Here is a 24,742-nt window from a genome sequence, read left to right as displayed (position 1 = left end):
ATATAATCTCCTTCACTGACCTATTTTCTTACTGTTATAATTTTTGCAAAGGTGGTTTCACTTTTTATTTAATGTTTTTGAGATTTATCTATACAGGTCTAATTTATTTATTTTAACCTGCCATATTATATCCCAATGTATGGATATTTCAAAATTTATAGAGCTATTCTCGCTCTCTCTATTTTTTTTTTTTTTTTTGAGCCAGGATCTTGCTCTACTGCCCAGGCTGGAGTGCAGTGGCATTATCACGGCTCACTGCAGCCTCAACCTCCCAAGGCTCAGGTGATGCTCCTGCCTCAGCCCCGCTGGTAGCTAGGACTATGCACCACCATGCTCAGCTAATTTTTATATATTTTTAAATTAGAGATGGGGTTTTGTCATATTGTGCATGCTGGGAGCCATTCTTCTACTGATGAAAATCTAGTCTGTAATAAAACAATGCTGTACAAACGTCTTTATGCATGTTTCCTTACGCCTGTAATATGAGTTTCTTTCGGGTAGTGTTTTTTCAAAACTGTGTTCTATTTACATATTTCAAAAATGATATAGATAAGCGCAGAAAGTAATGAAACAGAAAACAAAATTTACTGTTATTTAACAAATCCTTTGAGAACTTGCTGTCATGAGACACAATAGAAAATTTTCCAAGTCTCACAGTCAAGAAATGCTCTACTTCTGAAAAATTTTGTTTTCTGTGAACCTTGCGATAATTGGGGTGCACTTTTTGCTTTGGCTGCTAAGAAGCTTGGCACCAAATTTGTAGCTCACTCTGGGAACCGTAGCTCTGCATGGCTTGAATTTTGTGTGATAGTCTCTCCCTGGCTTAATTCTTTGTCATCTCAACTATTCTTATGTGTGTGCATTTTATGTATGTGTGTGTGCTTCCTAGAATCATTTGTGGAGTACAGCATAAGTGTATCAGTGAGTAAATAAACAGATTAGTACAGCAAGACTACACAGGGTAGAATGGGCAGATCAAATAAGCTGTACCCATTACAGAATTCTGCCTTTAAATTAATTTCTGTCAGGACACATTTCTCTTTCATAAATAATGTAGTTTATAATTTTATAACTTTGGCATTTCTCCCAGGGAACTAAGCCCAACCCCATACTATATAACCATTTCAAAGATTAGATTGTCATGCTTTCTTGTCTTGATCAGAGTGTTAATATGTAAATCAAAAGGACAATTTATGAGCTTGCTAATATTCAGTGGTTAGAGGCAGGAACAACAAAAGCTGGAAAACTCTAACATTATCTAAAAGAAATCCATTAGTCAATGGCTCCTTCTCTTTGGAAAAAAAAAAAAAGATTAGACTTGTGAACGCCGTAATCTGCCTGCAAAAAGATTATATGTAAATCATATGCAAATTATCTCCACTGTGCTGACAGTGACTAAAAGCATTTATTGTATCTCACATGTTCGGCTCACAAGAAATATGGTGAGTAACTCATTCTTTAAGAGTACAGTATTTTGGGATCTAAGCCATTCTCTGGCCTCAAATGAACAGGACTTTACGCATCTTGCCGTGATGAACCTTTACGGTTACGTATTGGGGTCTTTTTCCTCCTCATTTTAATTACATCTTCTGATATTCAGCCACTTCATTTCATTATAAATGTCATATTTTTTCCTTCATTATGATGGAAGCTATAGATCCTACAATAATGTAAAAGGTATTTTAAGTGCCTGCTTTTTTCTCTGTGCCCCACTGTTCTGCCTTGGCTCTATTTGTACACACAGATTGGCTTGGAAGTTGTTAATGACTTGGCAGGTCAAAATAGTTTCTGGCAAAAAATAATAATAATAGTAATAATTTAAAGAAACAACCAGTCACACCAGAAATTTTTTGTCTCGACTGACCTAACCAGTCATGACAATTGCTGTCATTTTCTGGTTTAATGAACAGTGAAGTAAAAATTAAATGAATGTAAAAGCCCTACTTAAATTATTTTAACGTGGATGGTTTTCTTACCCCTCCCAAGGCTGATTTTGCTCAGTTGGATTCTATCTTAGGTGTTTTCAAAGTGCACTGGTTGTGGACAAATTGGCTCATTGGGTGAATAGGGTTTGAAGGTTGTTGAGTCTTTAAGTGCTGGTTTGTTTGTTTAAATTTCCAGCTGAATCTTGTGCCACATCCTAGAATGATTTTTTTTTCTTTGTTTGTTGCCTGAATAACATTAGAGGAAGATTAAAAATACAAGAAAAATCATCTGAGATCTTACCCTCTTGATAACAATTCTTATTGTCCTTTTCAAAGGATTTGTCCACAAATGTATTTTTTACATGGTTACCTCCAACCGCTTATTCCCCTACTTAAGAAAAAAATGTTCTTGTATTATATATTCTGGACACAGATGAAACCAAATGATCCGTTTGGTCTACTTCAGGGTTTTCCACCTCAGCACTGTCAGCCCGCGGGGCTGCATGGTTTTTGCTGTGGGGCCGTCCTGTTCATCGCAGGATGATCTGCGGCACTCCTGGCCTCTGCCCACCAATGCCAGTAGCACCCTTACTCCGGCTGTGATGGCCAAAAATGTCTACCAACATTGCCAAATGTCTCCTGGGGGTGGGAGAAGTGGCAAAATTGCCCCAGTTGAGGACCACTGGTCTATTTTTTTCTTATCTGAGGAAAATAAATAATAAGAATGAAATCCCATGGTCTAGGCAGGAAGGCAGAATGTGGGTCCAAGTGGCAAGGCAGCTGGCCCCTGAGGTCAGCATCCCAGCCTCCTTGGGCCGATGCTTACCATGAAGCCAGCCGCGTGGGCTCAGAAACGCCAGACCCAGCTCTGCCAACGTTAGAAACAAATCACAACTCTCTGCTGGGAATGTGTGTTGTGCCAGGCTCTGGGTCTTAACCATAATCTTCTGAGGAAGATAATATTATCTGTGTTCTGTAGATGGGGAAATTGAGGCCCAGAGAGGGTAAGTAACTTATGCACCATTAAGTGGGGAAATCCCAGATTCAAATTCCGAGCTGCAGGATGGTAAAGCTTATATTCTACCTCCTATCACTACGCAGAGATGGGTGATGTGTGATCCAGGCCCCCGGGTGGAAGCAGGGTAGGGCCCTGCGGAGGTAAGCTGCCCACCCATTTCTGGGAAGGAAGAAGTCTAGAAGGTTTCTATTATGCCAGGAAACCATGCCTTTTGTTCAATTCCTGAAAGGATGTCAAGGGCTTTGTACTCTGGTTCGCTTCATTTCATGGCTGATGAAGGAGTGGAGGTGGGCATCTCCGATATTCTTGTTAAACTGCACCAAGGTAAGTTGAGACAGTAACATCTTTCATCTGCATAAGGCCCAGGAGAAACACATGTGGAGGATGGAGAAGGATAAAGCCTTGGAGTCAGAAGTTCTTAAATCCCCCTGGCTGTGCAAACTGGAGCATCCCAGAGAAACAGTAAAGGAATGAAACTTGACATTGTTCACACTGGGGTTGACTTGTCTTGTTTCCTTCCCCAAGGACAGGGGAGAGGAGAACCCCTGAGAGAGATGATTAGGCCAAAGTTGTGGAGCTTCAGAACCACACCAGCTGTCAGGCCAGGCAGGCATTTGCTGACCCCAGCCCTGTGTTTTTCAGTATGGGGTTTGAAGCTGAAGGTGTGGACTGGACTGCTCAGAGCATCAAGCAAGATATTTAGATTCTGTCTTGTGGGGAGATAAGGAGAAGGTGTGCGGTTGACAGGCAAGGAACATGTTGGAAGAGAGAAGTAGGTGTTTAATGGGGAATTTTGTTGTTTCCACTGTGGGTTAGGTGTTGTGAGTCCTCTCTATGGAATCCTCATGAAATCTTGAATAAAGTATGGATTTCCCATCATTGCATCATGGAGTTGGTTAGCCACAGATGGGAGTTGGGTCCAGATGCTGAGCCTGCTCAGGGTGGGCACAGGAGAAAACAGAGGCTGCTCATGTGGGGTTGTTTTGATGATCACAAGAGTGGGAACAGAGTCACCAGGGGCTTCCTAAGCACCAGACACTCCAGGCTCACCAGCAACCAGTCCTCATCACAACTTATGAGGTAGGTGACTGCTTCCGCCATGTTACAGTTACGGGAATTGAAGCTTAGAGAAGTTACGCAACTTTCCCAAGATCAAGCGGGTAGTAAGTAGCAGAGCAGAGATTGAAGTCCATCTGTGATGGGCTGTAAGCTGGCACTCTGACCTACTCCATCAAACTGCCTACTGAGAAAGGGCAGACTCTCAAATATCTCTGTTCTTAGGTTTCTTCGCTGGACAGAAGTGAATACTCTATTGAGGTAGAGGAGTGAGGGTCCTCACAGGGGGTCCACACCAGCCGGGTCCTATCAGCCTCACTTTGTGGGAGATAGGGCAGGTTTTGGGAGAGACAGGCATTGCCACCATCCACCCACGTCTCATGGAGTTTCTTGTTGCAATTTCTTTGTTGTTGTTTTTTTTTTTTTTTTTTTTGAGACGGAGTCTCGCTCTGTCCCCAGGCTGGAGTGCAGTGGCGTGGTCTCGGCTCACTGCAAGCTCTGCCTCCTGGGTTCATGCCATTCTCCTGCCTCAGTCTCCTGAGTAGCTGGGACTACAGGTGCCTGCCACCACGCCCGGCTAATTTTTTGTATTTTTAGTAGAGATGGGGTTTCACTGTGTTAGCCAGGATGGTCTTGATCTCCTGACCTCGTGATCCACCCGCCTCGGCCTCCCAAAGTGCTGGGATCACAGGCGCCTTGTTGCAATTTCTGTAGTGCCTTCTCAGCCTCTCTACTCCAAGGTCCCAGCAAACACATAATTGTGCTCAGGCCTGATAATCTCAGGGAGGTATGTAATTCTTTCAAAGAGAAAAAAGCAGGGTTTAGTGACTGCCTCCAGGGGTCATCTGTCTGGGAGCTACTACGTCAGCAAGCCCGTCACTTTAGCCCATCCCCAGCCTTGTGGCCAGTCTTGCCTTTGCTGCCCATGCCTTGGTGTGCAAAGGGACTTCTCCAGCAGCTGATTTTGTTCTCTGAGAGCTGTGGGTGGCATATGGTCGAATATCAACCATTGGCACCAAGGAAAAGCTAGTAAGGATGCTGCCATGCTTGGAAGAGATCAGAAGTCAGTGATGTCCCTGTCAGCTACTATTTGGAGGCTGAAAGGAATATATCGAGGTGAAGCAAAGAAGAATCAGGCACTCTTTCCTAGTTGGGCTTGGGGACACAGGATCAGGGACAGAAGCAGTGCATAGGGCCGGGCCATGAACCTGGTAGACCAGAGTCAAACTGGAGAAGCCAAGTGCAGCAAGCTGGGGAGCACTTGTCAAATGTCAGGAGGCTCAGAGCCCACAGAACTGTGACCATGCTCACCACCTAACTGGAGCACTGGTGACATATGGACTCCAACAAAGAAAGCTCACGAAGAAGATCAATGAAAACCTTTTTGAATTCTGAGAGGGAGAGAGTCTTCATATTCATTTGTGTGTGTGTGTGTGTGTGTGTGTGTGTATCTGCAGACTATATAGATATTAGAAGACTAGACCTGGTGCGGTGACTAGGCCAGGCACAGTGGCTCACGCCTATAATCCCAGCTCTTTGGGAGGCCAAGGCAGGTGGATCACCTGAGGTCAGGAGATTGAGACCAGCCTGGCAAGCATGGTGAAACCCCGTCTCTGCTAAAAATACAAAAATTAGCCGGGCATGGTGGTGCGTACCTGTAATCCCAGCTGCTCGGGGGGCTGAGGCAGGAGAATTTCTTGGGCCCGGGAGGTGGAATTTGCAGTGAGCCGAGATCGCACCATTGCACTTCAGCCTGGGTGACAAGAGTGAGACTCTGTCTCAAAAAAAAAAAAAAAAAAAAGGGCTATACCTGTATATAATCTTATATGTGGCTATCACTTTTCTAGGTGCTTGGGATAGAACAATGAATAATGTAAACAAAACACCCTGCTCATATGGAAATTCCATTACATCTACAGATCTACATTACATCTACAAGTATATGTATGTGTATGAATGTGCATATGTATGTATTTGTCAAATCATGTCCACTTGAACCCATACTGTGGCTAAAAAAGTATTAATAAACTGCTATTCTTTCTTTAAAGAATAGATGACAAATATGAAATCTAGAACATTTTCATTAGCTTTGCAAATTATGTTGCAAAACACAAAAACACTTTATTCTTGTAATTAGATCAGATATTCTCTACTATTATTTTGTTTATACCACTAATTAATTTAACAACATTTTTATGAAGAGCTTATGTTGGGGAAGGTAAATGTCAGTTCATTATCTGCTCCAATGCTCGTGACTTAGACATTAGTTTTGAATAACAAGTTTTACTATAGTCATTTTCAGCAGAATTTGCCAAGTTCGAACTAGAGTTTATTGAAAGTACCATGGTAAGGTGGGTGGATCACTTGAGGTCAGGAGTTCAAGACCAGCTTGGCCGACATGGTGAAACCCCATCTCTACTAAAAACACAGAGATTGGCCCAGTGTGGTGGTGGGCGCCTGTAATCCCAGCTGCCCGGGAGGCTGAGGTGAAAGAGTTGCTTGAACCCGGGAGGCAGAGGTTGCAGTGAACTGAGATCGCGCCGTTGCACTACAGCCTGGGCAACAGGGCAAGACCCTCTCTCAAAAATAAAAATAAAAATACAGAAAGTACCATGGATTACCTTAAGGTATTGACAGTCTTTAAACAGGATAAAATATGTACAGAAATGACCCATCCACTCAGGCAGAACTTTCTCATGGGTGTTAATCTATTTTCCTATTTCAAAACTTGGGAAATCATCCACTGCAGTTGAAAATAAAAACTGTGTGTCATTTAACAGCAAAACTTCTTTATTCCTATCTTTTTGTTGTTGTTGTTGTTATTTTTGACTTGGAGTCTTGCTCTATCACCCAGGCTGCAATGCAATGGCGCAATCTCTACTCACTGCAACCTCCGCCTTCCAGATTCAAGCGATTCTCCTGCCTCAGCCTCCCAAGTACCTGAGGTTACAGGCATGTGCCACCACGCCTGGCTAATTTTTGTATTTTTTGTAGAGGTAGGGTTTCACTATGCTGACCAGACTGGTCTCTAACTCCCGACCTCAAGTGATCCACCCGCTTCGGCCTCTCAAAATGCTGGGATTACAGGCATGAGCCATCGCGCCCGGCTTTTATTCCTATCTTGTTTCCAAGAAGCAACAGCGCTGGGCTATACTAATCCATTACTATAATATACTGCATTTTTCAAGACCCTTTGCAAATCTCACTAACGGGTTTAATGAACCAGAACTTGATCGTGCAGATATTACCAATCAGCCAGATCTTGCTCTAAAATTGCCAGTGGGACAGGTAATAAACTTGTATGGAAATGTCTGCTGGGGGGCCTTCAGCAAGCTCCCTGGGCTTGAGTGTTGTTTTTTGCCCTCAGCAAGATTTGCTGGTGCAGCAATGGTGCATCCCCTGTTTTTATGCCCAAAAAGCAGCATTGTGTAAGTTCAGCCTCCGTGCTGTTGGCAATTTTCACAAATTGTTTACAGTGCTCTAATTTTTACACTCTCTTTAAAGGATCTTTGTGTATGCTGATTGCAGAAGGTAATATTTCTGGCATCAGTAACCATGGTAATGAATCATTCTCCTCTCCGAATTGGTGCCAGCTGCACTAGTGTCTAGATAGTAGCACCCTGGTGTTTTGCTAATGAGCGACTTTTCATTTGCTGTAGGAGGACATTTCTACTTCACATCTTTGCTTGTGTCTTGTTAAAGGCTCTTCCTTGAGACCAACATCTGAAAAAATAAATGCCATTTGGTAAAATCTTAATCTCAAAAGAAAAACATTCCTAGTTCCATAAAGCAGAGCAGGCTGAATGAAATCCTTTGAAGATTCTATGGGGAGGCCATTCCCCTGCCTGCCGCGGTCCCTTTCCTATGCCCCCAGGATCGATCTTGTCTCTTTCAGTAACGCGCAGAGAGCTTGCCATCAGCATTCTCCTTTGACTGCTAGGGAAAGGAGTTTCAATATTTTAAAGATTTATGGTATGAATAATTTAAGAGAAATAAAGAAAGCTTCTAAACTCTCTTTGAATTATGTAATGGGAGCTTTGAAATATGTTAGCATTTTGCCTTATCAGATTTAATTTTTTTGTGTGGGAAGGCTGAAGTGGAAATGTAAGCCACTGCTGCCCTTTATCCCTTGCTAATGATGAGACCAGGAGAGACAGAGGGCTCCTTACCCTCGCAGGAGATAAGGGCCTGCAGTGACGGATGTTCTTTCCAGCTGTGCGCTATTTCCACAAACAATTGGCAGGAGACCCTCCGCCGCTTTTTAAACATTTGAATCTCAAACCACTGCTACTTCCAGCCTGGGTGGCATTTAAAAGAGAGTGAAGGGAAATTGATATCCAGAATCACTGCGGAGTTTTCTTTTTTCCTAGTCATTTTGATACGGACCCCCGATCATATGACTTTCTGGTGTGGCCACTGACTTTTATGCCAAACACTGACTGGCAGTCACAGGTCATCAGGACATTCACAACATGGCGACATTCACAACAAGGCAAATGTATGGTGCTTTCCGTGCGGGCTTACACACTTCACATGTGTTCACTTACCTTATTCTTACAATGACTCTGTGATGTCGCTATTATTATTTCTATTTTAAAAATGAGAAAACTAAGATCCAGAAAGGTTAGGTAACTGGTCCAAGGCTACCTAGGTGGTAAATTCAGGGCCAGCATTCATATCCAGGAGGGCTAAGTAAAGAGATTCATTTTTCTCCTTCCAGAAATGATAATCTGAGTCTGATTTTCCCCTTGAATATTTCCCAGTAGATAAAAGGATCACGAGAATATAAAATATACTTACATGATTCTCTCAAAGTGGACTAAAATAATCACTGCCATTAAATGGAGATTTGTTTTTTGAACCTAGTTACTTGTAGCCAAAAATAGTAAATCTTTCATTGTCACGGCTGTATTCCAGAGTTGAATTGACAAGTGCAAAATATGGAGGCTTTGGTTTTTTCAACAGTCAGTCACAGTCAGCGGCCTTATTGCTTCTGTCCTTTAAGAGAGCACAACTATATGCTCTTAAAAAGTGAATTTTAGTGTTGCGTTGATGAGTCACAAATGCTTACACTTCTGAGAAGCAGAGCACAGGGAAGAACATCTTTATTGGCACCAGTAAGGGTGGGGAACAGAACAGCCTTCCTGGCAATGGAGCATTTTTGCACACATTTATCCCACATCAGAACCTGCGAATGTCTTGGAAGGGATCCATTAATATAAATTCAAAAGGACAGATGGTGAATGAAGGTGAGAGAATGCTACTGTAGAAAAGGAGATGAATTCACTTATTAAGAAATCAGCTACTTGATATAACATGGCAAGTTTCCACGGAATACTACAATTTTCAATGAGAAATGGGATTTCCCGACAGCTTGCTTTGAAGGAAAGATTTGTCCTTGGATCACCATGAACCACAATGATTGTACAAAAGCCTTCTTCATCGAGTCTAGGATACTCAGGCTAACTCCCCTGTTCTCACTTCCACAGTCATTCCTCTGGGGCATTGCTTCCCACCTGCTCTGCATTTTGCTCCTCCTCAAGAACACACAATGTGATAAGCATGGATCAGCAATCCAGCTGATTATTTCAGGCACAGTGCTGGGTTCAGGGGGACACTCATGACTAGAAGACATGCATTCTTTATTTTTTGTTTTTTTTTTTTTGAGGCGGAGTTTCACTCTAGTTGCCCAGGCTGGAGCGCAATGGTTTGATCTTGGCTCACCACAACCTCCGCCTCCTGGGTTCAAGCGATTCTCCTGCCTCAGCCTCCTGAGTAGCTAGGATTACAGGAATGCTCCACCACGCCTGGCTAATTTTGTGTTTTTAGTAGAGACAGAATTTCTCCATGTTGGTCAGGCTGGTCTCGAACTCCTGACCTCAGGTGATCCGCTCGCCTTAGTCTCCCAAAGTGCTAGGATTACAGACGTGAGCCACCGTGCCCGGCCGAAGACATGCATTCTTGTGGAGCTGATAGTTTATAGGAGGAGACACATGGGAGAAAGACATCATTTTGTGATGGAGGCAGAGTGTGAACAAATGTAGCTGCCAGCAATAAGACCTCAGAATGTGGTGGGTACTGTGGCAAGCCAGAGAGAGCAAATGGGATTATATAGATTTTTGTGTAAAAATTTCTGATTTTTAAAACACCTACAGTGAAGCAAAACACACCGTAGGCTGAATTCAGCCCCTGGGCTGCCAGTTTGCATGCTCTAGTGAAAGGTGACAGGACAGGAGACCAGAGGAGGGGACAGCCTAGGACACACCTGTCTCTGCCTCTTATTTCTGTTTAGGACTGTAGAGTTAGGATAATAAAATCAAATAAACAAACCAAAGCTGACACTCTAAGCATCTTAGTTCCTTTGTGCTGCATGGACTGGGTAATTTATATAAAAAAGAAATTAATTAATTAATTTTAAAATTATTATTATTATTATTATTTAAGACAGGGTCTTGCTCTGTCCCCCAGGCTGGAGTGAGAAATTTATTTTGTTCTGTGGTTTTAATGCATCCCTTAAAGTTGATGTGTTGGAAACTTAATCCCCAATGCAACAGTGTTGAGAGGTGAGACCTCTAAGAGGTGATTAGGTAATGAGGGCTCCACCTTCATGAATGGATTAATGTTGTTATTGTGGGAGTGAGCTTCTGAAAAAAGGGTAAGTTTGACCTCCTCTCCTCTGTCTTTTGCCTTCACTTACCCTCTCGCCTTCCACCATGGGTTGACACATAGCATGAGGGCTCTTGCCAGATGTGAGACACTTGAACTTGGACTTCCCAGCCTCCAGATCTATAAGAAATAAACCTCTTTTGTTTAGAAATTATCCAGTCTCTGTTATTTTGTTATAGCAACACAAAATGGACTAAGACATTTGGCTTATGATTCTGGAGACTGGGAAGTCCAAGGGCATGGTGCTGACATCTGCTCAGCATCTGGTGAGGGCCTTCTTTGCATCTTTGTAACATGGCAGAAGGAATTGCATGACAAGAGAGCAAGTGAGAGACTGAACTTGTAGCCTCAAGTCCCATTGTAACTGGCATGAATCCATCCATGAGAGTGTAGCCCTTACACCCTAAACACCTCCCATTAGGCCCCACCTCCCAACACTGTTGCATTGGAGATTAAGCTTCTAACACATGCTTTCTTGGGGGACATATTCAAACCATAGCACCAAGGAAAACAAAAAGAACTAAATGCAAATACAAACAGATTAAGATCCTGCAAGGCACAAGAGCATGGTGATAAAGGATGGCACTGCCTGGGTTTGAATCCTGGTCTGGTACTTGCTAGCTGTGTGGGCTTTTAGGGGAAGCCACTTCACGTCAGTGCCTCGATTTTCTCATCTGTGGAATGAAGAGACTATTCATAACCCCCTTATGGGTTGTGAAGATTGAATGAGTTGATACAGGTAAAGTGCTTGGAAGAGTGTCTGGCACCATCAAAGTCTTAGCTACTATTGGTTTTATTAAGGCAGATGATTTCAGGTTGTAAGGAGAGGTCCCAGAAAAAGCAGTGAGCAGTTTATTCAGTACAAGATGTGCTCATGCCCTGGGCAGTCCTCTGTAGCAGCACCCTCTTGAGCTTCTTTGCATTGTGCCTACTCTGTCTCCTCCGACTCTTGTCTCCATCCTAGGCTGTATCTTTTTTCCAGGTCTAGACTTCTGAGATAGGCTGTAAGGTGTACCTTCTTTCCAGTTGTAGATCAGCACTTCTGAAACTGTTATGTGCTTATGAACCATCTGGAGATTTTACTGAATGCATATCCTAATTCTGGAAATCTGGGGTGTAACCTGAGATTCAACACTTCTAACAAGCACCTAGTTCTTGCCAACTTTGAGGAACCAGGAGCCAAAAAACCTGCTGCCTCGACATCTTCTTCCAAAGTAAGTTTTACACCAAATATTGCTTCTAGAGTCTTCATTCTCCTTCAGCACCTGAGGTCCAGTCCATATACGGTCCCCTCCCACTTCACAGCTCACTCGCATGGCAGTGATGAAAGATGGACCCTGCACCTACAAAATATTCTGGCCCATGATATCAGCTCCATCTGTCTGCTCAGCTTCTCTATGACTCAGGAACACACCTCCTCCCATGGGAGTGTTCTGGTAAGCATCTAATATGAACAGAGTTTTCAAAATTGTTTTCTAATTTCACAACACTATAGATACACTGTGAGGGGAGCAGTTTTTCCCCAGAATAAACACAACAAACAGAACCTTCTGTTGCAGCCTATTTTACTTGCCTGTTGACTCCTCTGTCTTTCTTTTGAGAAAATGATCTCGGAAAGGCCAGGATGTCGTGTTCACTGTTGGACTCCCGCCACCCCTCTCTGCTAGACCCCTGCATGTAGTCTATAATATATGAGGAGGAAGTGAATGCATTTACACACTGTGTGAGTGATTTGGCCACATTCCACACCACACTTTTGTTCCAAAATGCCCAAGTCACAGATAGCTCATTAATGTATGAGGATGCCACAGTTCTCTTGGCTCAGATGTCCCCCAAAACCTGGGAAAATGGAACCAAAGGGCCTTTCTTTATGTTGGCACCAATTAACTGGCTTATAAGCATCCCAGCTGCAGAGTAGCAGAAGAAAGTATTCTTAAAAGAAAGAATAACCTAAAGTTGGAAAAATGACAATAGCTGGAAGCATGATAGAGTTATACAGTCTTTCCAAGTTGCCATGTAAGTAGTCCCTGGTGCCATTTATACTTTGTATTTGGCCACCCTTAGAGGCCACCCTCAGTGGAGTTTTGCTCTGTCCTTAACCTGGCCCACACAGCCCCAAGAGTTAGCTATCACACCACTGACTCTCTTGTATCTGTATCACTTATTTATTCATTGATTCACATTCATTTCATCCTGCTCACTGGCTGACAGGCCAGAACAGAAGGAACAGTACAGCTTATTTGAGTTAGAACAAGAGGAAAGGATGGGAATTCAATAAAGCACAGATGATGTGTGTGTGTTGGGTGTCGGGGAGTTTGGGAAGGACAGAACTGAGGTCTGTATAAACCCCACTCCCCAGCCAGCCCTTGGGGCTGGTGCCTCTGAAAGACCAGCGTGTAGGTGTAGCCCTTTGTCATGTATTAAGGGACTGTTAACGGAGGGTATCAACAAAGGGTCAGAGACAGCTTTAGACAGGGAGTGCAGGAGCAGTGAAGCCAGGAATAAAAGCATCACCAACAAAAGTTGGACCAAGTCCCAGGGCCTGGGTAAAGTCTCACAGGACTCAGTATGGCTATGATGTCCCAAATCTGTCACAAACCTATGCTACTGACAGCTCTGCATCTGTGAGTGATTTTCGTGACAAGATTGACAGTGCAGGGGCTTGAAGAGAATCTGTTGCAAATGAAATGCAACTGGATTAAGACTGACTGACAAAGATCGTATAAAACCCAAAACTCGAGGAGGCCTTGGACTTTGGGGGGAAAATGGAGAGAAAAAAAACACATAAAGATGGTGAAGGTTAGAATGCAGAGTGTGACCCAGAAATCATAAAAGACTCTGTGCCCAATATACTACATACCTAGCAAAGAATCTGGACTATTTTAGTGGGGGATACAAAAGGTTTTGTGGGGAATAATAGAAGTCTTATTCACAGAACATTCTGCAGTTGTATAGTATCTTAAGTTTACAACACTATTTTATATAGATTGTCTTTTTTTCTGCTCACTGAGACCTCAGGAGAAACACAGGAAAAAAATTATTCTAAGTTAACTCATGAGAAATCAAAGTTTTTCTCACATTATAATACATAGATCATCCACATCAGAAGCATTTATTTAAAAATTGGGTTTCTGATCTCTGCTCCTGGAACAGGAAGTAAGAACTTCTAGGATGAAGCTCAGAAATTTGCTTTTTAAAAAATCTTACTCTTTATTTTTATCTCTAGTGAGGTATAATTAACAAATAAAAAGTATAACTTAAGGTACACAATGTAATGTTTTGATATACATCTACATGGTGAAATAATCACCACAAAGAAACTTGCATTTTTAACAAACTCCTCAGGAGACTTATAAAGGCATTCAAGTTTGAGAATATGGGCCCTAGAGATTAAAGAAATTGCCCAGATTCACACCCTCCCCCACTCACTCTCACACTTACTCACACTCACGTGTGGAGCTAAGACTGGAATTCAGCTCTTCTAGTCTAGTGTCCTTCCCACGAAAACCCTGTCCCACTAAGTTGACATGGTTACCCATCACCAACAAGTCTGTACCACGGAGTTTCTAAGATGCTTATCAGGAACTCAGATTCTATCATTTTCTTTTCTTTTTTTTCCTTCCTTCCTTCCTTCCTTCCTTCCTTCCTTCCTTCCTTCCTTCCTTCCTTCCTTCCTCCCTCCCTCCCTCCCTCTCTCTCTGTTTCACTCTTTCTCTCTTTCTTTCTTTCTTTTTTGTGACAGGGTCTCGTGCTTTCACCCAGACTGGAGTGCAGTGTCAAGATCATAGCTCACTGCAACCTCGAATGCCTCAGCCTCCTGAGTGGCTGGGATTACAGATGTGCACCACTACGCCTGGCTAACTTTTGTATTTTCTGTAGAGATGGGGTCTTGCCATGTTGCCCAGGTTGTTCTGAAACTCCTTATCTGAAGTGATCCTCCAGCCTTGGCCTCCCGAAGTGTTGGGATTATAGGCGTGAGACACCACACCTGGCCTAAATTCTCTCATTTTCTTTGGGGAGCAGGATTCAGATGATTTTTTTACTCATATGTAAAAGGTGAGTATCTCCTAATACAAATCTGTTTATTCGGGATGCTCCTTGTGGACTTTGTCATTTGATGCCTCAGAACCTGCTCACCTGTTGTCTTTCACCTCAGAGTGAAAGGGCCTGGCCTAACATAGATGTTAAGCTATAAGTTTGTGGTGAAACTCTTGTTTTCCTTATGAAAACTGTGTATTTATTATAAGTTGGGATGAAGGTCCGTCTCACTGGGGATGTTCCATGTTTTTGTGTAGGAAGTATCATAATGCAAGCCCCATAGCTCCCTGGATTTCTAATAGGTGACTTAGGAAGCAGCAGCCTAGCCTTCGCTCTTCCCTTATCCAACTTGTTCCAAATTATTATGTCAGTAGTGCCTGTGTATCTCAGATTTGTTCCCCAAATTGACCCCAACTTTTTTTTTTTTTTGAGACAGAGTCTCACTCTGTTGCCAAGGCTGGGGTGCAGTGGTGTGATCTTGGCTCACAGCAACCTCCGCCTCCCTGGTTCAAGTGATTCTTCTGCCTCTGCCTCCTGAGTAGCTGGGATTACAGGTGTGTGCCACCATGCCTGGCTAATTTTTGTATTTTTAGTAGAGACAGGGTTTCACCATGTTGGCCAGGCTGGTCTCGAACTCCTGACCTCGTGATCTCCCCACTTCAGCCTCCCAAAGTGCTGGGATTACAGATGTGAGCCACCATGCCACCTGGCCAACCCCAACTTTTTATTCCATGTAATTACCTGATCACCTCTCACAAGGACAGTAGCCTTTTAGCTAGACTCACCACCACCAGAATTTCTAGAATTTCTGCTGTAGAAATTTCTTGAATTTCTGCTCCTTTACATTGCTATCCAAACAGTTTTTCTAAAAATAAATCCTAATTGCGCCATTTTCTTTAAAAACTGTAGTTGATGTCTAGCTTTTATAGAACAAGTCCACATTTCTCACTAAAATCTTAACCTTTTAAATATCACTTTCCACTTCTCCCCATCTCATATTTTATGTCTCATTATAGCAAACTTCTCACCAAGGTATAAACTAGCCCTCACAGCGCCTCACAGCCCTGCACATGCTATTCGTGTGACCTGGAAATGCCTGTCCTGCCATTATTCAGCTGCCGTTTGTCTTCCAGGAAGCCTTCCTGAACTAGACTGCAAATCATCTCTCCAACCTCTTGGACCCCGAGCATGTAAATTCTACTTGGTTAATTTGCCAATGCTTTTAATCTGTGATACATGCTCATTTAATCTTTTATTCACAGATACTTATTCAGAATCTACAGTGTGCAAGCAGTGCCTGTGTTTTGATTACAATCCCTTCCATGAAAATATTAATAAAACCAGACATTGCCTCAACTCCACAAATGCAGAATAGTCTGCAGTCACCCATAGTAGTGTGGAAACAGGATTCCAGGTGCACTTCTCTGATCCTGCTGGTCTTTCTTCCTCTTTCTCTTCCTTGCCAACCCCTGCCTGACCATCACCTTTATTTTTCAGCTCAGGGAATTGGGGAAAGTTGACCCAGGACCCAGGGAGCCTAGGTCCTGTTCTCTCTCCTGCTTATCTTCTTGATATTCTTGAAAATATTATCTCTGGCCGGGCGCGGTGGCTCACGCCTATAATCCCAGCACTTTGGGAGGCTGAGGTGGGCGGATCATGAGGTCAGGAGATCAAGACCATCCTAGCTAACACGGTGAAACCCCGTCTCTACTAAAAATACAAAAAAAAAAATTAGTTGGGCGTGGTGGCAGGCGCCTGTAGTCCCAGCTACTTGGGAGGCTGAGGCAGGAGAATGGCGTGAACCCCGATGGCGGAGCTTGCAGTGAGCCAAGTGAGCCACTGCACTCCAGCCTGGGAGACAGAGTGAGATTATCTCAAAAAAAAAAAAAAAAAAAAAGAATATTTCTCTGAGATAGTATTCTTGATATGCATTGGCTGACGTGATGACAGTGCTTTTAGATGGCAGGTACCTTCAGAGGACTTCTGGCCCCTTGCCTCCCCACTTTCTTTTTTTTTTTTTGAGACAGAGTTTCGCTCTTATTGCCCAGGCTGGAGTGCAATGGCATGATCTCAGCTCACCACAACCTCTGCCTCCCGGGTTCAAGCAATGCTCCTGCCTCAGCCTCCCAAGTAGCTGAGATTACAGGCGCACACCACCACACCCGGCTAATTTTTGTATTTTTAGTACAGATGGGGTTTTGCCATGTTGGTCAGGCTGGTTTCAAACTCCTGACCTCATGATCCGCCCGCCTAGGCCTCCCAAAGTGCTGGGATTACAGGCATGAGCCACCATGCCTGGCCGCCTCCCCACCTTCTGAAGACATCTTCTGAGTGCTGCCTCAGATGGGTGCTGGTGACATGGAGGATTCAAGGGGCTGTTTCCTTGGTCAGCCAGGAATGCTGGGACCAAGGCTTTGAAAGATATGGAGGATTCAGGGGTGCTGTCAAAGAACTCCAATCCTAAACAGTTCCCTGGAAGAACACCTCGGGGCTTAGAGAGTAGGCCAGGCTCTCACCTTCGGATGCAGAACAAGAGACATCTACCATGTGCACTGAGTTCCAGGAGTCTGACTGGGCTTTGACGGTATCTTCACAGGTGATTGCAACTGTCTTCTATCTAATGGTGGCCAAGTTTTAAATTTGTTTTTCTGAAGAAACATGTTCAGACTTAACTTTTATTATTATTTTGTTTATTTTCCTTATTGATACATAATGATTTTACATATTTATGGAGCCCATGTAATATCTTGATACACTATGTATCAAAATATGTATGTTCATACAATATATAATGATCAAATCAAGGAAATTGAGATAGCCTTCAACTCAAACATTTATCATTGCTTTCTGTTGGGAACATTCCGAATATTATTTTCTAGCTGGTTAAAAATATACAATAAATTATTGTTTACTATATTCACCTAACTGTGCTATCAAACATTAAAACTTACTTCTTTTATCTAACTATATATTTGTATCCGTACACCTTCATCCCCCCACTCCCCTCCCCTTCCCACCTTCTGGTAACTGTCATTCTATTCTCTACCTCCATGAGATTAGCTGTTTTTTTAGCTCCCACAAGTGAGAACATATGGTATTTGTCTTTCTGCGCCTGGCTTATTTCACTTCACATAATGTCCTCCAGTTCCATCCATGTTGCTGCAAATGACAGGATTTCATTCTTTTCTTGGCAGAATAATATTCCATTGTGTGTTTATATACCACATTTTCCTTATCCATTCACCTGTTTATGAACATTGGGTTGAGTCTGTGTTTTGACTATTGTGAATGGTGCTGCCATAAACATGGGAGGGCAGATATCTCTTCGATATGTGGATTTCCTTTCTTTTGGATAAATACCCAGAAGTGGGATTGCTGGATTATAGGGTAGTTCTATTTTTAGTTTTTTAAGAAAACTCCGTACTGTTTTCCACAATGGCTGTACTAATTTACATTTCCACCAACATTGCATGAGAGTTTGCCTTTCTTGGCTTGTTTGCCAGTATCTGTTATTTTTTGTCTTTTTGATTATAGCCTTTTTTACTGGGGTGAGATGGTATCTCATTGTGGTTTTGATTTACATATCCCTTATGACTAGCGATGTTGAGCATATTTTCATATATCTGTTGGTCATTTGCATATTTTCTTTTGAGAAATGTCTCTTTAGATCATTTGCCTCTTTTCATTGTATTATTTGGGTTTTTATTTTCTGTTGAGTCGCCTGATTTCCTCATATATTCTGTCAGATGGATAGTTTGCAAATATTTTCTCCCATTCTGTGGGCTGTCTTTTCACTCTGTTGATTGTTTCCTTTGGTGTGCAGAAGCTTTTTAGCTTAATTCCATTTGTCTATTTTGCTTTGTTGCCTGTGCTTTTGAGGTCTTACTAAAAAAATCTTTGCCCAGACCAGTGTCCTGGCGTGTTTACCCAATGTTTTCCTGTAGTAGTTTCATAATTTTAAGTCTTACATTTAAGTCTTTAATTCATTTTGATTTGATTTTTGTATATGGCAAGAGATAGGGGTCTAGTTTCATTTTTCTGCATATGGATATCAATATCCAGTTTTCCCAGTACTATTTATTACTAAGACTGTCCTTTCGCTAATGTACATTCTTGGCGCCTTTGTCAAAAATGAGTGGGCTGTAAATACATGGACTTATTTCTGGTTTCTCTATCCTGTTCCATTAGTCTAGGTGTTTGTTTTTATGCCAGTACCATGCTGTTCTGGTTACTGTAGCTTAGTAGTACAATTGGAAGTCAGATATTGTGATGCCACCAGCTTTGTTCTTTTTGCTCAGGATTGCTTTGGCTGTTTGGAGTCTTTTGCGGTTCCATATTAATTCTAGAATTTTTTTTTTCTATTTCTGTAAAGAATGCTCTTGGATTTTTTGTTTTTTTGAGACAGAGTCTTGCTTTGTCACCTAGGCTGGAGTGCAGCAGCACCATCTCAGCTCACTGCAACCTCCGCCTCCTGGGTTCAAGTGATTCTCCTGCCTCCTGAGTAGCTGGGACTACAGGCATGTGCCACCACGCCTGGCCACTTTTTGTATTTTTAGTAGAGACACGGTTTCACCATGTTGGCCAGGCTGGTCTCGAACTCCTGACCTCAGGTGATCTGCCTCCCTTGGCCTCCCAAAGTGCTGGGATTACAGGCATAAGCCACTGCACCTGGCCAATTATTGCTACTTTCATAGAGATTGTATTGAATCTGTAGATCGCTTTGGGTAGCATGGACATTTTAACAATATTGGTTCTTCCAATCCATGAACATGAGATATCTTTCCTTTTTATGTGTGTCCTCTTCAACTTCTTTCACCAGTATTTCACAGTTCTAATTGTAGAGATATTATACTTCTTGGGAAATATCTCTAGAATTAAAATTGAAATTTCTTTGGAAATTTCACTACTTATTCTTAGGTATTTTAATTTTTTGTAGCTATTATAAATGGGATTGCTTTCTTGATTTATTTTTCAGGCTGTGTGCTATTGGCATATCGACATGCTACTGGTTTTTACATGTTGATTTAGAATGCTGCAACTTTATTGAATTTGTTTGTCAGTTCTAACAGTTTTTTGGTAGAGTCTTTAGGGTTTTCTAAATATAAAATCATGTCATCAGCAAACAAGAACAATTTGACTTGTTCCTTTCCAATTTGGACGACTTTTATTTCTTTCTCTTGCCTAATTGTTCTGGCTAGGAATTTCAGTACTATGTTGAAAAAAAGTGGTGAAAATAAGCATTCTTGTCTTGTTCTAGATCTTAGAGGAAAAATTTTAATTATTCCCTGTTTACTATGATGTTAGCTGTGTGTTTGTCACGTATGGCCTTTATTGTTTTGAGATATGTTCCTTCTATATCCAGTTTGTCGAGGATTTTTATCATGAAGCAAGTTGAATTTTATCAAATGCTTTTCCAGTACCTATTAAAATAATCATATGTTTTGTCCTTGATTCTATTACTGTATTGTATCACATTGATTGATTTGTATATGTTGAATCATCCTTGCATTCCTGAGATGAATCCCACTTGATTCTGGTGAATAATCTTTTTAGTGTGTTGTTGAATTTTGTTTGCTAGTATTTTGTTGAGGATTTTTGCTTCTATGTTCATCAGTGATATTGGCCTGTAGTTTTTTTTGTTGTTGTTTTTGTGTTCTTGTCTGGTTTTGGTATTAGTAATGTTGGCTTCATTGAATGAGTTCAGAGGTATTCCCTCCTCTACAATTTTAGGAATGGTTTGAGTAGAATTGGCATTAATTCTTCTTTGAATGTTTGGTAGAATTTAGCAATGAAGACATCAGGTCCTGGGCTTTGATGGGAGACTGTTTGTTACAGCTTCAACTCTCATTACTCATTATTGTTCTGTTGAAGTTTCTGTTTCTTCATGGTTCAATCTTGGTAGGCTGTGTGTGTCTAGAAATTTATCCATTTTTTCTAGGTTTTTCAATTTTTTGGTATAAAGTTGTTCATAAGAGTCTCTAGTGAGTATTTGTATTTCTGTGGTATCTGTTGTAATGACTCCTTGTTTGTCTCTGACCTTATTTATTTGGATTTTCTCTCTACTTTTCTTAGTATAGCTAAACATTTATTGATTTTTGTTTTTACAAAAATCCAAGTTTTTGTTTTCTTGGTCTTTTGTGTTTTTTAGTCTCAAGTTCATTTATTTATGCTCTAATCTTTATTTTTTCTTTCTTTCTAATTTTATGTTTGGTTTGTTCTTGCTTTCCTAATTCCTTGAGGTGCATCATTAGGTTTATTTGAAGTCTTTCTACTTTTTTGATATAGGCATTTATTGCTATAAACTTCTCTTTTAATATTGCTTTTGCTGTATCTCATAGGTTTTGGTATGTTGTAATTCCACTTTCATTTGTTTTAAGAAATTTTAACATTTTCTTCTTGATTTCTTAATTGACCTAATGGTCATTCAAGAGCATATTGTTTAATTTCCATTTATTTATTTATTTATTTATTTATTCATTCATTCATTCATTCATTCATTTATTGACACAGGGCCTCACTCTGTCATCCAGGCTAGAGTGTGATGGTGTGATCATGGCTCACTGCAGCTTTGACCTCCTGGGCTCTAGCGACCCTCCTACCTCAGCCTCCCGTGTAGCTGGGACTACAGGCAGGAGTCACCATATCCAGCTAATTTTTGTATTTTTTGTAGAGAGGGGGTTTTGTCATGTTGCTCAGGCTGGTCTGAAACTCCTTAGCTCAAGCAACTCTTTTGCCTCAGCCTCACAAAGAACTGGGATTACAGGCATGAGCCACTGTGCCCAGCCAATTTCCATGTATTTGTAAAATTTCCAAAGTTTGTCTTGTTATTAATTTTTAGTTTTATTCCATTGTGGTCAAAAAGATACTTGATATGATTTTGATTTTTTTGAATTTGTTGAGAACTTGTTTTGTGGCCTAACATATGGTCCATCCTGGAGAATATTCCATGTGATGAGAAGAATGTGTATTTTGCAGAAGTTGGATGAAATATTCTGTAAATGTCAGGTCCATTGGTTTAGAGCGTCAGTTAATTCTAATTTTTCTTTGTTGATTTTCTGTCTGAATGATCTAAAGTGGCACGTTGAAGTATCCAACTCTTACTGTATTGAGGTCTGTCTTTCTTTTAGATCTATTAATATTTGTATTACATATTTTCGTGACCCAGTGTTGGGTGCATAAATATTTATAATTGTCATGTCATCTTGCTGAATTAACCCTTTTGTTATTACATAGTTAACTTTTTTGTCTCTTTTTACAGTTTTTGACTTGAAGTCTATTTTATCTGATAAAAGCGTAGCTACTCCTTCTTTTTCGTGGTTTCTATTTACAGGAAATATCTTTTCCCATCTCTTCACTGTCAGTCTATGTGTGTCTTTATAGGTGAAGTGCATTTCTTGTAGGCAGCATATAGTTGAGTTTTAAAAAAAATTCAGCCACTCAATGTCTTTCAATTGGAGAATTTAGTTTATTTACATTTAATGTTATTATTTATAAAAATTTACTACTGCCTTTTTGTTATTTATTGTCTGACTGTTTTATAATATCTCTTTTTTCCTTCCATTCTAAATATCTTCCTTTGTGGAGAGTGATTTTTTTTCTGGTAGTATGTTTTAATTCTTTGCCTTTTATTTTTATCGTACTATTATAGGTTTTGCTTTGTGATTACCATGAAGCTTACTCAAAACATCTTATAGTTATAACAAGTTATTTTGAACTGATGACAACTTAACTTTGACTGCAAAGAAGAGAAAAGAAACAAACAAGTAAGGAAAAACTGAAAAACTCTGCACTTTAACTCCATCTTTCCTCCTACATTTAAGCTTTTATTGTCTCAATTTACATCTTTTTATTTTGCCTAATTCTCAACACATTGTGGTAGTTACCATTATGTTTAATGGATTTTTTTTAGTTTTTATACTAAAGATATGAATTTCTTTATTACAATCACAGTATTAGAGTATTCTGAATTTGTCTGTGTACTTACTTTTACCAGTGAGTTTTATACATGTCTGTCTGTTGCAAATTAGTATCCTTTTCTTTCAGATTGAAGAACTTCCTTAGCATTCTTGTAAGACATGTCTGGTGGTGATGAATTCCATTAGCTTTTGTTGTCCAGGAAAGTCTTTAACTGCTTTATGTTTGAAGGATAGCTTTGCTGGTTACAGTTCTTGGTTGGCAGTTTTTTCCTTCAGCCCTTTGAATATGTTATCTCACTTCCTTCTGGCCTGTAATGCTCTCATTGTGAAGTCTGTGGCCAGATGTACTGGGGCTCCTTTAGAAGTCATTTGCTTCTTTTCCCTTGTTGCTTTTAGGATCCTCTCTTTGTCTTTGACCGTTGGGAGTTTGATTATTATATGCTTTGGGGTAGTCTTATTTTGGTTAAACCTGCTCGGTAACCTTTGACCTTCTTGTACCTGGATATTCATATGTTTGTCTAGGTTTGGAAAGTTCTCTGTTGTTATTTCTTTAAATCAAATTTCTACCCCTCTTTAAGGGCCAATGACTCTTAGATTTGCTCTTTTGAGATTGTTCTCTAGATCTTGTAAGTGTTCTGTTTCTTTTAAAAATCAGTTCCCTTTTCCCTCCTCTGACTGTGTATTTTCAAATAGCCTATCTTTGAGCTCATGGATTTTTTTCTTCTTTTTGATCAGTTTTACTGTTAAGACGCTATTGCACTTTTCAGCTCATCAATTGAATTTCTCAGCTCCAGGGCTTCTGTTTGATTTTTAAAAATTATTTCAATCTCTTTGTTAAATACTCATACATTTTTTGATTGCTTCTCTGTGTTATTTGAAATTCATTGAGCTTCCTCATAAAAACTGTTTTGAATTCCCTGAGAGGTCACACATCTTCATCTCTGCGAGGTTGGTCACTGGTGCCTTATTTAATCCAAGAAGACACCCTAAGCTCAGGTATGTTGTAATTTTTCTTGCAGACTGCTAAACACCTAGCTCTGATATACCTGGGTAAGATTAGGGAGAATTCCCTGGCTTTCCAGGCAAAGTCCCTCATTCACTTCCTTCTCTTTCTCCCAAGCAGAAGGATTCTCTCCCCATTCTGTAAGTCTGGAGTTGGGGGTGGGATGACAAGAGCACTCCCATGTTCACTGCAGCTGGCACCATGCTGAATCACACTTGAAGCCCATGACCTCCCAGACCAGTGCAGTATCAGGGCTTGTCAAGGCCTGAGACAGCTACTGCCTGACTTCCGCTGATGTTTATTCAAGGCACAAGGCAACTTTAGTCAGCCAGGAGTGAAGTTGGCCAGGACAGAGGTCTGGCTCACTGTTGTAGCAGATTCCCTACTGGCCCAGTGAGGCTTTAGACACATTGCCCAGGAGCAACAGCTTAAAACTGGGGGCTTCAGGGTTTTCCCCAGTGCTGTCTTTTATTGTGGCAGGGCTGGTAGTAAGTTCCAAGGCAAAATCTTCTGTAACCTTCTCTCTCCTTCTTCTGAGCAGAAGTCTCTTTCCACACTGTTCTGCTTGGAGTTGAGAGTGGTGTGATGTGAGCACTCCCATGGCTGCTGCAGCTGGTGTCAGGCTGGGTTGCACCCCAAGCCCACGACCTCTCAGACTAGTTCAGCACTAGGGCTTACCAAAGGACCACGGTCACTAAGGCCTAGCAGCCACTTTAATTGGCCAGTGATGAAGCAGGCTGGAAATTGGGTTCCTCCCACTGGGGTGGTGGATTCCTCTGTGGCCTGGGGCCGATCTAAATGTTCCATTTGTGAGCACTGGCCTGGAATCAAGGGCATAGAAGTCTGCCCAGTGCTATGTTCCACTGTTGTGGGGCCAGCAGTGAGCTCTGAAGCAAAGTGCCGCACTCACCTCCCTCTCCCTTTCCCAAGCACAAAGATTCTCTCTCCACATTGAGCTGCCTGGTCCTGCGGGAGGAACAGTGCAGGCAATGCGGGATTGTCCTTCCTACTCCTTCAATGCCTCTTTTCTTGTTACTATGATAAACCGGGTCCTGTGATCGCTTACCTGATATTTTAGCTCTTGTGAAGGTGTTTTCTTGTGTGTGTTTGCACTCAATTC

The 24,742-nt window shown here is 41.4% G+C and overlaps 2 annotated features.

The window, feature by feature from the left end:
- Positions 7,409-7,972: an enhancer, noted in NCBI's record as "OCT4-NANOG hESC enhancer chr13:25711474-25712037 (GRCh37/hg19 assembly coordinates)". NCBI's record gives its function as "activates a minimal SCP1, AML or CMV promoter by ChIP-STARR-seq in naive H9 embryonic stem cells {active_cell/tissue: H9 hESC(naive)}" and the evidence as "EXISTENCE:reporter gene assay evidence [ECO:0000049][PMID:30033119]".
- Positions 7,973-8,537: an enhancer, noted in NCBI's record as "OCT4-NANOG hESC enhancer chr13:25710909-25711473 (GRCh37/hg19 assembly coordinates)". NCBI's record gives its function as "activates a minimal SCP1, AML or CMV promoter by ChIP-STARR-seq in naive H9 embryonic stem cells {active_cell/tissue: H9 hESC(naive)}" and the evidence as "EXISTENCE:reporter gene assay evidence [ECO:0000049][PMID:30033119]".

Source organism: Homo sapiens, chromosome 13, assembly GCF_000001405.40.
Source record: "Homo sapiens chromosome 13, GRCh38.p14 Primary Assembly".
Lineage (NCBI taxonomy): Eukaryota > Metazoa > Chordata > Mammalia > Primates > Hominidae > Homo > Homo sapiens.
This window is presented reverse-complemented; position numbering and strand designations above follow the sequence as displayed.